This window comes from Homo sapiens, chromosome 7 (genome assembly GCF_000001405.40).
Source record: "Homo sapiens chromosome 7, GRCh38.p14 Primary Assembly".
Taxonomy (NCBI): Eukaryota; Metazoa; Chordata; class Mammalia; order Primates; family Hominidae; genus Homo; species Homo sapiens.
The window spans coordinates 101170399-101183637 of record NC_000007.14 but is presented as its reverse complement, the minus strand read 5'-3'; the positions used below and the strand labels follow the sequence as shown (position 1 = coordinate 101183637).

General features: G+C 56.3%; 1 protein-coding gene across 3 annotated transcripts, besides 9 other annotated features; it reads left to right on the top strand.

The window, feature by feature from the left end:
* Positions 891 to 1108: a silencer, noted in NCBI's record as "fragment chr7:100825811-100826028 (GRCh37/hg19 assembly coordinates)". NCBI's record gives its function as "represses an EF-1alpha promoter that drives an FKBP-Casp9 reporter gene in an ReSE screen in HepG2 liver carcinoma cells {active_cell/tissue: HepG2}" and the evidence as "EXISTENCE:reporter gene assay evidence [ECO:0000049][PMID:32094911]".
* Positions 2842 to 3564: an enhancer, noted in NCBI's record as "H3K4me1 hESC enhancer chr7:100823355-100824077 (GRCh37/hg19 assembly coordinates)". NCBI's record gives its function as "activates a minimal SCP1, AML or CMV promoter by ChIP-STARR-seq in naive H9 embryonic stem cells {active_cell/tissue: H9 hESC(naive)}" and the evidence as "EXISTENCE:reporter gene assay evidence [ECO:0000049][PMID:30033119]".
* Positions 3176 to 3470: a silencer, noted in NCBI's record as "tiled region #2161; K562 Repressive non-DNase unmatched - State 20:ReprD". NCBI's record gives its function as "represses a minimal TATA promoter and a strong SV40 promoter by Sharpr-MPRA in K562 cells {active_cell/tissue: K562}" and the evidence as "EXISTENCE:reporter gene assay evidence [ECO:0000049][PMID:27701403]".
* On the top strand, positions 3345 to 13142 carry NAT16 (N-acetyltransferase 16 (putative)). 3 transcript variants are annotated; one of them, NM_001369694.1, is made up of 5 exons: positions 3345 to 3596; positions 4502 to 4541; positions 8827 to 9142; positions 10118 to 10342; positions 10987 to 13142. In NM_001369694.1, the coding sequence occupies exons 3-5, from the start codon at positions 8831 to 8833 to the stop codon at positions 11557 to 11559; spliced, it is 1110 nt and encodes a 369-aa protein (NP_001356623.1). In that variant the 5' UTR covers positions 3345 to 3596; positions 4502 to 4541; positions 8827 to 8830; the 3' UTR covers positions 11560 to 13142. The 3 variants fall into 3 exon arrangements, with proteins under 3 accessions (NP_001356623.1, NP_940973.2, NP_001356624.1); NM_198571.3 differs by lacking the exon at positions 4502 to 4541; NM_001369695.1 differs by lacking the exon at positions 3345 to 3596 and having other exon boundaries at positions 4402 to 4541.
* Positions 9087 to 9592: an enhancer, noted in NCBI's record as "H3K4me1 hESC enhancer chr7:100817327-100817832 (GRCh37/hg19 assembly coordinates)". NCBI's record gives its function as "activates a minimal SCP1, AML or CMV promoter by ChIP-STARR-seq in primed H9 embryonic stem cells {active_cell/tissue: H9 hESC(primed)}" and the evidence as "EXISTENCE:reporter gene assay evidence [ECO:0000049][PMID:30033119]".
* Positions 9384 to 9443: an enhancer, noted in NCBI's record as "active region_26400". NCBI's record gives its function as "activates an Ori minimal core promoter by ATAC-STARR-seq in GM12878 lymphoblastoid cells {active_cell/tissue: GM12878}" and the evidence as "EXISTENCE:reporter gene assay evidence [ECO:0000049][PMID:35858748]".
* Positions 9892 to 10104: a silencer, noted in NCBI's record as "fragment chr7:100816815-100817027 (GRCh37/hg19 assembly coordinates)". NCBI's record gives its function as "represses an EF-1alpha promoter that drives an FKBP-Casp9 reporter gene in an ReSE screen in K562 erythroleukemia cells {active_cell/tissue: K562}" and the evidence as "EXISTENCE:reporter gene assay evidence [ECO:0000049][PMID:32094911]".
* Positions 10243 to 10856: an enhancer, noted in NCBI's record as "H3K27ac-H3K4me1 hESC enhancer chr7:100816063-100816676 (GRCh37/hg19 assembly coordinates)". NCBI's record gives its function as "activates a minimal SCP1, AML or CMV promoter by ChIP-STARR-seq in primed H9 embryonic stem cells {active_cell/tissue: H9 hESC(primed)}" and the evidence as "EXISTENCE:reporter gene assay evidence [ECO:0000049][PMID:30033119]".
* Positions 10857 to 11470: an enhancer, noted in NCBI's record as "H3K27ac-H3K4me1 hESC enhancer chr7:100815449-100816062 (GRCh37/hg19 assembly coordinates)". NCBI's record gives its function as "activates a minimal SCP1, AML or CMV promoter by ChIP-STARR-seq in primed H9 embryonic stem cells {active_cell/tissue: H9 hESC(primed)}" and the evidence as "EXISTENCE:reporter gene assay evidence [ECO:0000049][PMID:30033119]".
* Positions 11471 to 12085: an enhancer, noted in NCBI's record as "H3K27ac-H3K4me1 hESC enhancer chr7:100814834-100815448 (GRCh37/hg19 assembly coordinates)". NCBI's record gives its function as "activates a minimal SCP1, AML or CMV promoter by ChIP-STARR-seq in naive H9 embryonic stem cells {active_cell/tissue: H9 hESC(naive)}" and the evidence as "EXISTENCE:reporter gene assay evidence [ECO:0000049][PMID:30033119]".
* Positions 13143 to 13239: the final 97 nt, after the last annotated feature.

Sequence of the window (13239 nt, the reverse complement as noted above, 5' to 3'; positions counted from 1 at the left end):
TTGGCATTACAGGCCTGAGCCAGGAGGATCACTTGAGGTCAGGAGTTCGAGACCAGCCTGGCCAATATGGTGAAACCCTGTCTCTACTAAAAATACAAAAATTAGCTGGGCATGGCCGGGTGCGGTGGTTCATGCCTGTAATCCCAGCACTTTGGGAGGCCGAGGCGGGTGGATCACCTGAGGTTGGGAGTTCAAAACCAGCCTGACCAACATGGAGAAACTCCGTCTCTACTAAAAATACAAAAATTAGCTGGACGTGGTGACACATGCCTGTAATCCCAGCTACTTGGGAGGCTGAGGCAGGAGAATCTCTTGATCCCGGGAGGCGGAGGTTGCGGTGAGCCGAGATCACGCGACCGCACTCCAGCCTGGGCAACAAGAGCGAAACTCCGTCTCAAAAAAAAAAAAAAAATTTAGCTGGGCGTGGTGGTGCAGCTACTCAGGAGGCTGAGGCCGGAGAATCGCTTGAACCCGGGAGGCGGAGGCTGCAGTGTGCCAAGATCGCGCCACTGCACTCCAGCCTGGGCGACAGAGAGAGACTGTCTCAAAAAAAAAAAAAAAAAAAAAAAAATTCCTATGGGATCTGGTCCATAGCCTTCTCAGAATATACTTTGCTCTTCTGTAAAATGGCTAAACAATCCGCCCTCCCCTACAGCGTTATGGAGATTAAGCTACAGTGCTTAGTAAACATTGGGTGGTTCAGTGGTTCACCCCACATCACCACCACTCTACTGGGTAGAGGGTAATCCTGGAACCTAGGCCAGCCACGCCAGGGCTGTCTCCTCTCAGCCAGATCTCTCCTCCATCCCAGAATAGGCCGCCTCCCTGCAACCTCTGAGCACTCAGGCAGCTGAAAGCCACTTGTTCTCTAGCTGAGAGGAAAACCGGCTCTCCTAGATGTGTGAGAATGAAGCCTGGAACAAGATGGCTTTCCATTGGCCCAGTGAGCTGTTTGGAGGCGGGACTTACAGTGACAACTTGCTTCTGAGTGGCTTGGACTTAAGGGGAGGGGCCGAAACGTTGGTAAACTTTTAATTCTGAATGGCTGATGGAACTGGAAGTGTGTGAGGGTTGGGCCAATCCAAGAGTTTCTGTTGGTGGAAGGTGTGGCTTCTGGCGAAAGGGGCGGGATTAGCATATGATGGTCTCTCCCTTTGGCCACTAGTGATTTTTTCCTTGAAACCTGTAACTTTTTGAAGTTCTTTCCCATCATGAAGCATATGGCACCTTAACTGCAATCTGCAGTTTGGTGAGACGCACAGTGTGTTAGCACTTTCAGAGATCAGAAATGGGGGGAAGTCCTATTAAAAAATGTTGAGTAACTTGTCAGTTGCATTTTGCCCTGCCTCAGCCTAGAAGTCGGGATTCTCATCCCTTTAACCCTTGGTGTTATTCCTGTTTAGCCCTTTAACCCTCGGTTGGAATTCCTGTATGTGGGATTCCAGGAACATGACCTTCCTTCTTATTGCATTGGCACATCCAATGGGATCAGTTTGCCTGATTATGAAGTTATCACCTCGGAAAGTAAAGAAAGAAAAAATGGAATAAGATGGGTGAACAATGAATTTTGGGGTGGGGGAGAGGGTAGGGGGAGCATGAGAGCTGGGCGGCCCCTGGAGAGAGGACTCCAGCAGACCTTGAAAGGCCTTAACATTATTCCCTGCATCGGCCGGGCACGGTGGCCCACGCCTGTAATCCCAGCACTTTGGGAGGCCGAGGCGGGCGGATCACGAGGTCAGGAGATCGAGACCATCCTGGCTAACACGGTGAAACCCCGTCTCTACTAAAAATACAAAAAATTAGCCGGGGGTGGTGGCGGGCGTCTGTAGTCCCAGTTACTGGGGAGGCTGAGGCAGGAGAATGGCATGAACCCGGGAGGCAGAGCTTGCAGTGAGCCGAGATCGCGCCACTGCACTCCAGCCTAGGCGAGAGTGAGACTCCTCTCAAAAAAAAAAAAAAAAAATTATTCCCTGCATCTCCAAAGCAGTTTACAGTTGCTAAAGGGCTTTGTCCATCACTTTCCTGGCTCCTTACAGGGTAGAACTGAAGGTGTTCTGATCTCACTTTATTTATTATTTTATTTTATTTTGAGTTGGATTCTCGCTCTGCCGCGCAGGCTGGAGTGCAGTGGCACGATCTCGGCGCATTGCAATCTCTGCCTCCCGGGTTCAAGCGATTCTCCTGCCTCAGCCTCCCAAGTAGCTGAGATTACAGGTGCAGGCCACTGTGCCCGGCTGATTTTTGTATTTTTAGTAGAAACGGGGTTTCGCCATGTTGGCCATGCTGGTCTTGAACTCCTGACCTCAGGTGATCCTCCCACCTCGGCCTCCCAGAGTGCTGGGATTACAGGCATGAGCCACCGTGCCCGGCCAGGCCAGGCTAATTGTTGTATTTTTAGTAGAGACGGGGTTTCACCATGTTGGCCAGGCTGGTCTCGAACTCCTGACCTCAAGTGATTCCCCCGCCTCGGCCTCCCAAAGTGCTGGGATCACAGGCTTGAGCCACCGCACCCAGTCTTGAGCTCACTTTATAGGTGGGATGGAGAACCTTGTAGGAGTTAAGAGCCTGGGCCACCGCCTTATTAGAGCAGGGGCAGCGCTGCACCCACCCGGGTCCCAGCTCCACACTTCCCTCTTCCTCCCCAGCCACCAGGATCAGCGTGGGGTGCAGCGCCTCCTGAGTGCAGAGGTCTGTGTGAATGTGCCTGGGTGTGCGCTGTGTACCTGGAGGTCTTTCTGCCTGCTGTCCCGTGGGGTACATTGTGGATTTAGGGGCCTTGTGCACCCGGGGAACCAGGGTGCTCAGGCACCCACGCAGTGGTGAGAAGATGGAGAGATCTTGGCCTCCCTCTGCCCTTTTCAGCCTTTCAACTTCTGTCTCTTGATGTCTCTTCGCCTTCCCGGTGTTCTAGGGTTTCTGATTCCCTCTATCAGTTTCCGGGGACGAAGGCTCGGAGTCCCCTTCCCAGCCGCTCTTATAATGGAGAGAGGAGATTCCATTGAGGGGTGGCTCCTGGAGGAGGGGTACTTCAGGGCAGTGGGGGACCCCCGGACAGAGAACGGAGGTGCTGGGCGTGGGGTGGGGAGATAACTAAGCCAGCAACACCAGCATCACCACCACCAAAACCCGAGACACCACCATCCTCAGTCCCACTCCCCAGCCGGGACACAGGGCGGAGTCTCGCCAGTAGGGCTTGAGGCCACCCAGCTGCCCAGGGCGCACCCCGACCCCCGGCCCCGCCAGCAGGGCACGAGTCCGCTCCGGATCCGTCCCGGGTTTCTTCCGCGTCGCCGGGGTCTCCGCCCCTCGAAGCTGCCGCCGGAGCGTCGCCGGGGGAGCCACGCGTGCCACCCGAACCCCTGAACCGATGGGCGCCCCGGCCCGCGTCGCCAACGGAGCTGCGGCGCTGCCCCAGCGCTGACCGACGTTAGAGTCGGGCTCCGACAGCGCGGCCGAGTCCCCGCGCGTCATCCTCCTTTGACTCTTGGGGGCTCCAAAGGGACCTCTCTCTTGGCACCGGGGGTGTCTGCGCCCGCCGCCCGCCCCGCTTGGCTTTGCGGCATCTCGGCCCTGGCTCCAGCTCCGGCTCCGGCGAGGTAGGGGGGCGGCCGGGCCTGGGGACTGGGGAGGGGGCTAGCGTGCTCCTCCACCGCAGAATGGGGCAGCAGAAGGCCACCGCCCCTCAGGGGGACCAAGCGGCTGCGCCCCCTTCTGCCCAGCCCCTCCCAGTCCGAAGACCCAGAAAACTGAGTCAGAGGCTGCGCTTCAGGTGTCCAGAAGCGCTCCCCCGCCCCCCTCTGTTGCCATGTCGCTCCCACCTGTCCCCAGGGTCCGGCGCCCAGGGGAACCCCCGCCAAGCAGATCGCTCCCTTTGCAATCTCCCTCTCCCCCAAGCCCAAGCCCCCAATCCGGGGTAGAGGCAGAGGGAAGACCCTCACTCGGGAAGACCCTGCAGGACAGCCCCCCCTTCTCCACTACTGTGGCCCTCTGGGGCCCTCCCCCCACCCCCTTTGGCTGGGCCATCTTCCTCGGCCCCTGCCTCTGCCCACCCCCTAGGCCTTCTCTCCCGCCCCCACTTCATCGCCTCTCCCCGTCTCTGTTTCCAAGGTTGTTCTCTTACGGCCTTTTTTCTGACTTTCTTTTCCCCTTGACCCCTTCCCCTCCACGGATCCCCGCCCCCCATACCCCGGGGCGAAGGGGGTGTGTCACGCTGCTTTCTATTTACAGTGTCCCAGGGGAGGGGGTGCGTGCTAGGATTTTTTTTTTTTCATCTGCTGGGCCCAGAGTCACGAGGTGTCATGTCTGTGATTCGGTGTCGAAGCCTCCTCCGGCTTCCCTGCCTGTCCCCTGCGGCCGCATCTCCTGTCCGCTTTTGTCTGCTCTCTGCCTCCATTCCCGTCCTTTTCGCTCTCATCTTTGGGCGCTTTGTGCAGCTGCCTTCTTTGTCTCCGCCTCTCCGGCGACTGGGCTCTCCCTTCCCTCCCTCTCCTCCCTCCCCCAGTGTCAAGAAGCCATCGGCCTCAAGGGCATCGATATTTCAGGTGTGTGGGGTGTGGTGGGAGTGGGGTGCGGGTGGGTGGGCTGCCGGCATTCCCAGCTCTGACTCCGATCATGCCCAGCTATGACTCTGATCACCCCCTCCCCAAAGAGATCATTCATATTTATGAGATTTAAAGAATGTCCCCAAGGATGTGGGGATAGACATGAAGAGAGAAATGTTATTCCTCTTTTTTTTTTTTTTTTTTTTTGACAGCGTTTCACTCTTGTTGCCCAGGCTGGAGTGCAATAGCGTGATCTCGGCTCACCACAATCTCGGCCTCCCGGGTTGAAGCGATTCTCCTGCCTCAGCCTCCTGAGTAGCTGGGATTACAGGAATGCGCCAGCACGCCCGGCTACTTTTGTATTTTTTTTTTTTTTTTTTTTTTTTAGTAGAGAGAGGGTTTCTCCATGTTGGTCAGGCTGGTCTCCAACTCCTGACCTCAGATGATCCGCCTCCCTTGGCTTCCCAAAGTGGTGGGATTATAGGCATGAGCCACCACGCCCGGCCAAGAAATGCTGTCCCTCTTTTAGGAGGGCGCTTGGTCCAGGAGATACCTGGACTACATTTCTGACAGTGCCCTGGACTCACCAGCTGCCTCCGCCTCTGCCTAGACATCTGATGAGAGTTAAGAGTTCCACGGAGCCAGGCTGGAGGGTGCTGGACTGGAGGGTAGGAAGTGGTCACCATGTGAAGCAAGGGTTACAGGCTAGCCCACAGCTTTGGCTTGGCCTGGAGTCGCTGACCTGTTTTATTACTCGCCTCCTCCAAGGTTTAAGGACCTGGGAACCTTTGTTCATGTCCCCCAAAATGGAACAGGGGTAGAGGTGGTGCCTGGGTTGAAAGATGGGGGATGCATTGGAAAGTTCTTCCCTCCCCATGACTCTGGGAACTCCCCACGTCCACCCCTACCCTTACCTCCCACGACAAACAACCTTATCTGAGACGTATAAATGCCATTTGGAAAGGGTCTCCCCACTGTAAGCAAGGGAAGGAGACTGGAGCCAAATGTCTTGAATGAGTCAGGTGGGTTCCAGTCTACCGGTTGCTCACAACTTATCACCTTTGGGGGTAGTGAGGGTATTGCTGGAAGCACCACTGAACCACTAGCTTGCATTTTCCTGGGACCCATGAACAGCTGGTTCATGTTGCCTGGAGCTGCAGATGGAGTCAGGAGCTAACTTGCTGTTCTCTGGGACCCATTGTCCTCAGAGCGTGGTGCAAGAGGTCTGGGGCTTGGGCTGGTTCCAGGCATGGAGGCTTGTGTGTTGGCATAGGGATTGCTGACAGTGTGGGCCAGACAGTGAGGGAGTTCCTAGCAACCGCATCTCTGGTTCTTCATCAGCTTATCCCACCTGGGCCCTTCAACTCCTGTTCAAGGACCCAGTAGTTCCCCTCCTTGCTCTTCAGGCTGGGGTCAGAGATCCAGATACACTAAAAACAGATCTTGGCTGGGCATGGTGGCTCACACCTAATATCCCAGCACTTTGGGAAGTGGAGGTGGGAGGATCACTTGAGCCCAGGAGTTCAAGACCAGCCTGGGCAAAATAGTGGGACCCCCATCTCTACAAAAAATTAAACATTTTAGAAAGTAGCCAGGTGTGGTGGCACATGCCTGTAGTCCTAGCTACTCGGGAGGCTAAGGTGGGAGGATCGCTTGAGCCCAGGAGGTTGAGGCTGCAGTGAGCTACGATGATGCCATTGCACTCCGGCCTGGGTGACAGAGCGAGACCCCGACTCAAAAGAACAAAATAAAATAAACAAATAAGCAACAACAATAATAATAAGAGGTCTCCCCCCTGGCCTGGAAGCCAAGGAAACTTAACTTTTAGCCTGGCTCTGCCCAGACTGAGTCACCTCGGGCAAGGCTCTTAATCTCCTTGATTATGAAATGAATGGGTTGAACCTGATGGTCTCTAATGGCCCCAGCAGAGGATCTAAATCCTCTGAGCCTGGCTTCCTCCTCTCTGATAATTCTGGCTCCATATCCAGGTAATCTCCAGGTGTTGGAATCAGATGAGAAAGAATCAGAAAACAAAGAGGGAGATAGAACTCTTGTCTTGAAGCTTGGTTTGTATAGCAAGCATACCGCGTTTAGGCAAGCTCTGTTTATGGCTTGGAAGTGCAAACCACTCCTTGGTCCCACTGCTGGTCAACCTTCCCCAAACCTAGGTAAGACTTTTGTTAAAAAAAAAAATAAAAATTCCAGTTAAGTCAATAAGTCAATATCACCCCCACAGAATAGCTGGTCTGTGTGCCCTTGGGATGTTGGTTAATGAGGCTTAACGTAGGTTATCTGAGGTGAGCATTATCATTGGCTGAAAGAGAGAGGGGGGATTTGATTGGTTGATTTGGCTGATCTGGAAGAGACAGGCCCAGAAATAGAAGTTGCTGGGACTTGGATAGGGGGCTTTCTCTTTCATTTTGGTGGAGCTCCGACAGAACACTTTTCAAACAATTCCTAGTCCTGGAGTGGACAGAGCCCAAGTCTCCCTATGGGGAAGAGGGGCAGAAGGAAGGAAAGGGGCGGGGGCGGGGGGCATTGATTGGCTTAGAAAGAATGGTTTGACATTTTCTTCTTCTTTTTTTTTTTTTTTCTTGAGACAGAGTCTCACTCTGTTGCCCAGGCTGGAGTGCAGTGGCTCAACCTCGGCTCAGGCTCACTACAACCTCTACCTCCCGGGTTCAAGTGACTTTTGTGCCTCAGCCTCCCTAGTAGCTGGGATTACAGGTGTCCACCACCATGCTTGGCTAATTTTTGTATTTTTGGTAGAGATGGGGTTTCATCACGCTGGCCAGGCTGGTCTCGAACTCCTGACCTCAGGTGATCTACCCGCCTCGGCTGAGCCGCCATGCTAGGCTGGCTTGACATTTTCTAGTGGAGCTATCTATCTTGTTTATATTTGAATGTGTATGTCAAGAGGTGGAGGTGGGGGGACAGGGAACTGGGGCAGCAATATGGAGGATATTTGGGGTCTACACCCTCCCCCTTGGCCCTGGCTGGGATTGTAGCTGGTAGTGGCAGGAAATGGGGTGAGGGTGAGCCCTCCACTGTTCTCTGGGAACTTTCTTGTGGACAGAGGGGTGACAGTGGGAGTTTCTTTCTCATGTTGTCCTTGCAGAGGTCTTAGAGAGGTGATGGGATCCTTGAAGGAGTGTGCCTCTTTTTTTTTTTTTTTGACACAGGTTCTCTCTCTGTCACACAGGCTGGAGTGCGGTGGTGTGATCCCGGCTCACTGCAACCTTTGTCTCCTTGGCTCAAACGATCCTCCCACTTCAGCCTCAGAGCAGCTGGGACTACAGGCCCACTGCACCACCATGCCTGGCTAATTTTTTTTATAGACAGAGTCTCACTATATTGCCCAGGCTGTTCTTAAACTCCATGACTCAACCAGTCCACCTGCCTTGGCCTCCCAAAGTGCTGGGAGTACAGGCATGAGTTTCCGTGTCCAGCCTTCTTCTTCTTTTTTTTTTTTAAAACTACCCCCAAGTGCCTTTTTTCTTTTGCCTGGGTCCCTGGATCTGGGGCTGGTCTATGGGGATCTCACAGGGTTCTAAGTTTCTGACTGTTAGGGAGCATCCCATAAGAGTGGGGTGGGTAGAGCTGAGATTTCTGAAAGCTGGTGGGAAGAGGGAGGGAGCTGGGAGACCTCCACTCCCAGGGTCTGTGTGGACAGCAGAAAAGAAAGGGTGTGGGCCAGGTAGAGTGGCTCACACCTGTAATCCCAGCACTTTGGGAGTCCAAGGTAGGAGGATCTCGAACCCAGGAGTTCGAGACCAGCCTGGGCAAAGTAGTGAGATCCCTATCTGTATTAAAAAAAAAATAAGAAGAAGAAATGAAGAAAGGGGCCAATGTGGTGGCTCACACCTGTAATCCCAGCACTTTGGGAAGCTGAGGTAGGAGGATCGCCTGAAGTCAGGAATTCAAGATCAGCCTGGACAACATGGTGAAGCTCCGTCTCTACTAAAAATACAAAAATTAGCCAGGCATGGTGGCACGTACCTGTAGTCCCAGCAACTCAGGAGGTGAAGGCAGGAGAATAGTTTGAAGCGGGGAGGCAGAGGTTGCAGCGAGCCGAGATCGCGCCACTGCACTCCAGCCTGGGCGGCAGAACGAGACTCCGTCTCAAAAAATAAATAAATAAATAAGTAAATAAGTAAATAAATAAAAGAAAAGAAAAAGAAAGGCTATTTGTGTAGGAAGGGGCATTAGGACCGTTTGTGTGCAGGGGCCCAGATGTGGAAACAAAGGGGCTGATCCAGGTGCTGAATTCTCTTTTTTTCTGCAGGGTCATGAAGCTGGAAGCCAGCTGTGGCACAGCCACCTCAGAGGTCCCTAAGCCGGAAAAGAAGACTGCCCGAGATGCAGAGCCAAGCTCTGAAACCCGGCCACAGGAGGTGGAGGCCGAGCCCAGGTCGGGATCGGGGCCTGAGGCTGAGGCCGAGCCATTGGACTTCGTGGTGGCCACGGAACGGGAGTTTGAGGAAGTGCTGGCCATCTCGGGGGGCATCTACGGCGGCCTGGACTACCTTCCTAGCCGCTACCACAGCTGGCTCCGGGACCCCGACCGCACGGTGGTGCTGGCCAAGCGCAACGGAGGCGTGGTGAGCCCGGGGGCACGGCCCAGGTGACATGGGGTGAAGCCACCTGCGGGTGCGTGGATCTTAGGAAGAGGAGGATGAGAGCTTCTCCCCAGCCTTCCTCTGGAGGCTGCGGAAATAGAGCCTGCTTTGGGACCAAAGTGCAGGGCGTGCAGTGCGGATCCAGGGGCTATGTCAGTGAGGGTGGGGTGGAGGACTCCTAAAGCAGAGGAACCAGAGGGACAGGTGAGCGTTTGAAAGTTCGAGGATCCACCGGAGGAATTTCTGGGGGTAAAAGCAAAGGAGGTGGGGAGCAGGAGAGAGAGGGTAGGCTAGGGGTGGGAGCAGGAAGAGCTTAGATTTGGGCTGGGGGAGGAGCTAAGAGGAAGTGGGGCGTGGCAAACTCCCGGGGGAGGAGCCAAGGAAGGGGCGTGGTGAGCGGTCCGGAACTTGACACACTCGGAGCTGGAGCATCTCAAGAGGTGGAAGGGGCCGGGCGCGTCGGCTAACTCCTGTAACCCCAGCTCTTTGGGAGGCCGAGGCAGGAGGATCACTTGAGGCTAGGAGTTCCAGACCAGCCTGGGCAACATGCGAGACCCCTGTCTCCAAAAAATAAAAATAAATAAAAAGCCGAGAGTAGGGGTGCGTGCCTGTTGTCCCAGCTACTAGGAAGTCTTGGGGGTGTAGGGGATCGCTTGAGCCCAGGAGTTTGAGGCTGCAGTGAGCTGTGATAGCACCACTGCGCTCCAGCCTGGGTGAGGAGACCCTGTCCTAAATTTAAAATAAATAAAAATAAAAAGGTGGACGAAGCCCCGGCGAATGACTGTTCTGCCGGCTCTGTAATCTGAGGCCCAAGTGCCGTGCTACCCCAGGCCTGGCCTGGTGCCCGGGTGGTGACGCGGAGTGCTCAGCGTGTGGGAAGAGGAGAGCCCAGTGAACCGACAGCCCTGGCAGGGGCGCAGGCGGGGAGGGCCCCGCGCTAACGGCCTCGGTCCGCAGATCGCGCTGGAGTCGGTGAACGTGATCGACGCCGGGGAGACGGTGCTGGTGGAGGGGCTGCGCGTGGCGCCCTGGGAGCGCGGGAAGGGCGTGGCCGGGCTGCTGCAGCGCTTCTGCTCGCAGCTGGTCAAGAGACAGCACCCGGGGGTCAAGGTGGCACGGCTCACCCGGGACGACCAGCTGGGCCCCCGGGAGCTGAAGAAATACCGCCTAATCACCAAGCAGGTGAGAAGGACAGGGAGCTCGGATGGCTGGGCCTCTCTGCTGGGGCATATGGGGAGACCCTCCCCACCCCCAGCAGAACACGGGCTTGCTCTCTCTCTGGGCTTTACCGAGTGGCGCGGCCCATGAGCCTTGCCCTGGGACTCCCAGTCCTTACCAGACCCTTTGACCCAGGGGAAGTCAAACTCCCGACTCCCAGCCTGAAACCCTAGTCCTTACTTCCCAACTTCGGGGACCCTGCCTCCCCTAGGATCCTGCCTCTGTTCAGGGCCCCAAGCCATCTCCTCTGAGCCTTTGTCCTCCCTCTGCTCCTCCCAATCCTACTGACTGATCGGCCTCCCTGGCTTTCACGTCCCTGGAGACCCGGGGACCCGTACCCTCAGTTCCCTGGCTACTCCATACTGATCCCACCTCTTCTTGGGGATCCACGTACTGGGAGCCCGTGCCCCTGGTCCCTGTCTGGTACCCTTGAAACCCAGGCTTTCCCATACCCCACTCGGCCCGGAGCCCTCACGGTCGCTCCTCCAGAGGGACCCAGGTGGGAGCCCGTGGGCGTGAACGTGGGAGTGAAGATGCCTGCCGAGAGGCGCCGGGCTCGCCAGCCCTGCTGCGCCCCCCCTCCCCGCGCTCACTCGTGCCCCCCGCAGGGCATCCTTTTGGTCCGATTCAACGCGTCCGCGCTGCTGGCCGGGCTGGGCGCGCGGCTGGCGGCGCTGCGGACCTCTGGCACCTTCTCGCCGCTGCCCACCGAGGCCGTGTCCGAGGCAGGCGGCGACGTGGCACGCCTCCTGCTGTCACCCTCCGTGCAGCGCGACGTGCTTCCAGGCGGGACCATCATCCAGGACTGGCAGCCCTACCGGCCTAGCGAAAGCAACCTGCGCCTGCTGGCGGCCAAGGGCCTGGAGTGGCGCGTGGACAGCCGCGCGCGCCCGCGCGTGCTCACGCTGTGCACGCGCCCCTTCCCCATCCCGCACGGAGGGGACGGCACTTGGCGCTATCTCAACATCGACGCCTTCGGTAGCGACGGCGCGCAGGTGCAGAGCCAGCTGCTGTGGCACCTGCAGCGCCAGGCCCCGCGCCTCGTTGGCCTCAACGTCATGTGCCAGCTCTTCCTGGAGCCCCAGCTGTGGTCACAGCTGGCTGACTTCTGCCAGGTCGGGCTGGGACTGGAGCTGGTGAAGGGTTATACTGAACAGTACCTGCTGGAGGCCGACATCTGAGGCCTCTCCTCTGGCGGGGAGGGGGAAAAAGACCCGCCCCCTTCCGCAGTTTCCCCAGCCAGCCTCTTTCCTGCCATTTCCGACGCTGCGTCTCCTGGGAAGTCCCCTCTGACTCCTGCCCTCCTGCCCTTACCGGCGCAGGTCCCCCCACTCTGTCCCTTTTGCCCTTACTATCTTGCCTCTAGCTCCCCCAAACACCATTGCCCACTCCCTGACCTGAACTTGCGGACTATTAGGTGGGGGCTGGGGGTGGGGGCCTTGAGCTGCTGTTATCCACCCTCTGTTTTTCCAAAGAACTGGTCCCCGCACAGGCTTCAGAGTCCTTCCTTCCCTCTCCATCACCTCACCCGGGGCGTGAACTCCCCCTTTCCTGGCTTCTCCCTTCTGCCCCCTCGTGGGTGGAAGAACTCAGGAGTGTGTGGGATGCCCAGCCTCGTTCCCGAGCGCAGCCGCCCAATCCGCGTTTCTTTTCTTCCTTCTGCCCTTTCTAAAGCCCTAAAAACTGGTCCTGCATTGCCCTCCACACCCCAATCCCCTCCCCCTGCTCAAGCTTCTGGTGCCAGAGATCAGTGCCCTCTCCCCACTTCTCTCTAGCCCCTCATCCTCATCCTCGCTGGATCTCTACGACGCTTAACACCGCAGTGCCCATTTTTCTGTCCCTGTTTTCCTTCCCATCACCAGCCCAGTGTGCAATCCAGAGAGAGAGAGAGTGATACTGTAAAATGAAATGTATTTAGAATGCTCCCCCATTTGGGTCCTTGTTCATCTGGTGATGCACTTTCTGAGCCTGCCTCTCTCACTGGGGTTTCCTCCTGCTTTGCACAACTTTGCTATTTCGCAGGCTCCCCCGTGCCCCAGCTCACCCGAGCCGGGCGGGGTGGTGGTGGTGGTGGTGGTGTGTGTGTGGTGTGGTTCTAGCTGAAGAGTTTGGTACAGTGGAGGGCGGGTCCCTCAGCCTGGCATAGGGGCTGTCTCCTGGTTCCAACCAGGCCGCCTTCTAGTGCAACTGGAATTCCCACCTCCTGGTATTTCTGGACACCACTCCCTTTCTCTGGATCATTTATGCTTTTAGAACTTTGAGAGTCTTCTATTTAATTGCAAGTAGTAACAGCTGCATCTGCACAGCGCTGTCTCCAATACTGGTTCCCCACATCAAAGGCAGAGGGAGAAAACAGAAGGCTGGGAAAGATCAAAGTGACTTCTAAGTCATTCAAAGTAGCTAGGAGCCTCCCAGCGAATAGAACCCGGGTGTCCCAAGCCTAGAGCATGACCTAGAACTTCACTCTGTGGGATGATGTTAGCTTGAACTTCTTGTTGGGCAATGCGTAGGTGCTAGGAGAATGTTGACAGTGAGTTTGGGGTTCGCTGGGATGGGATCCGAGATGTGGGCAGAGGTGGACACCAGCAGGTGGAAGAATGTGGACAAGGTGGGGGGTAGGGGCAGCCGCCGCTTCGCCACTTTCCGCAGCTCTGGTTTTGCTACTGTGCTGCTCTCCTTGGGTGCATCCTGTGCCTGGCCACGCTGCCACCCTCCTTGTCACGGTGACCACGATTGTATGACAATAAAATGGACCTTTTGGCCACCCTCTGTGTCTGTTTCACTTCCCAATGGGGAGAAATGAGACACATTATCTTCCCCTTTCCCCAGCAGCCTGTATCAGAGAGGATCTCTAAGCCCTG

Coding starts and splice junctions, on each gene's coding strand:
- NAT16 (NM_198571.3), top strand. CDS start 8,831: ATGAAGCTGGAAGCCAGCTGTGGCACAGCCACCTCAGAGGTCCCTAAG. Junction 9,143..10,117: donor CCAAGCGCAACGGAGGCGTG/GTGAGCCCGGGG, acceptor CTCGGTCCGCAG/ATCGCGCTGGAGTCGGTGAA. Junction 10,343..10,986: donor ACCGCCTAATCACCAAGCAG/GTGAGAAGGACA, acceptor TGCCCCCCGCAG/GGCATCCTTTTGGTCCGATT.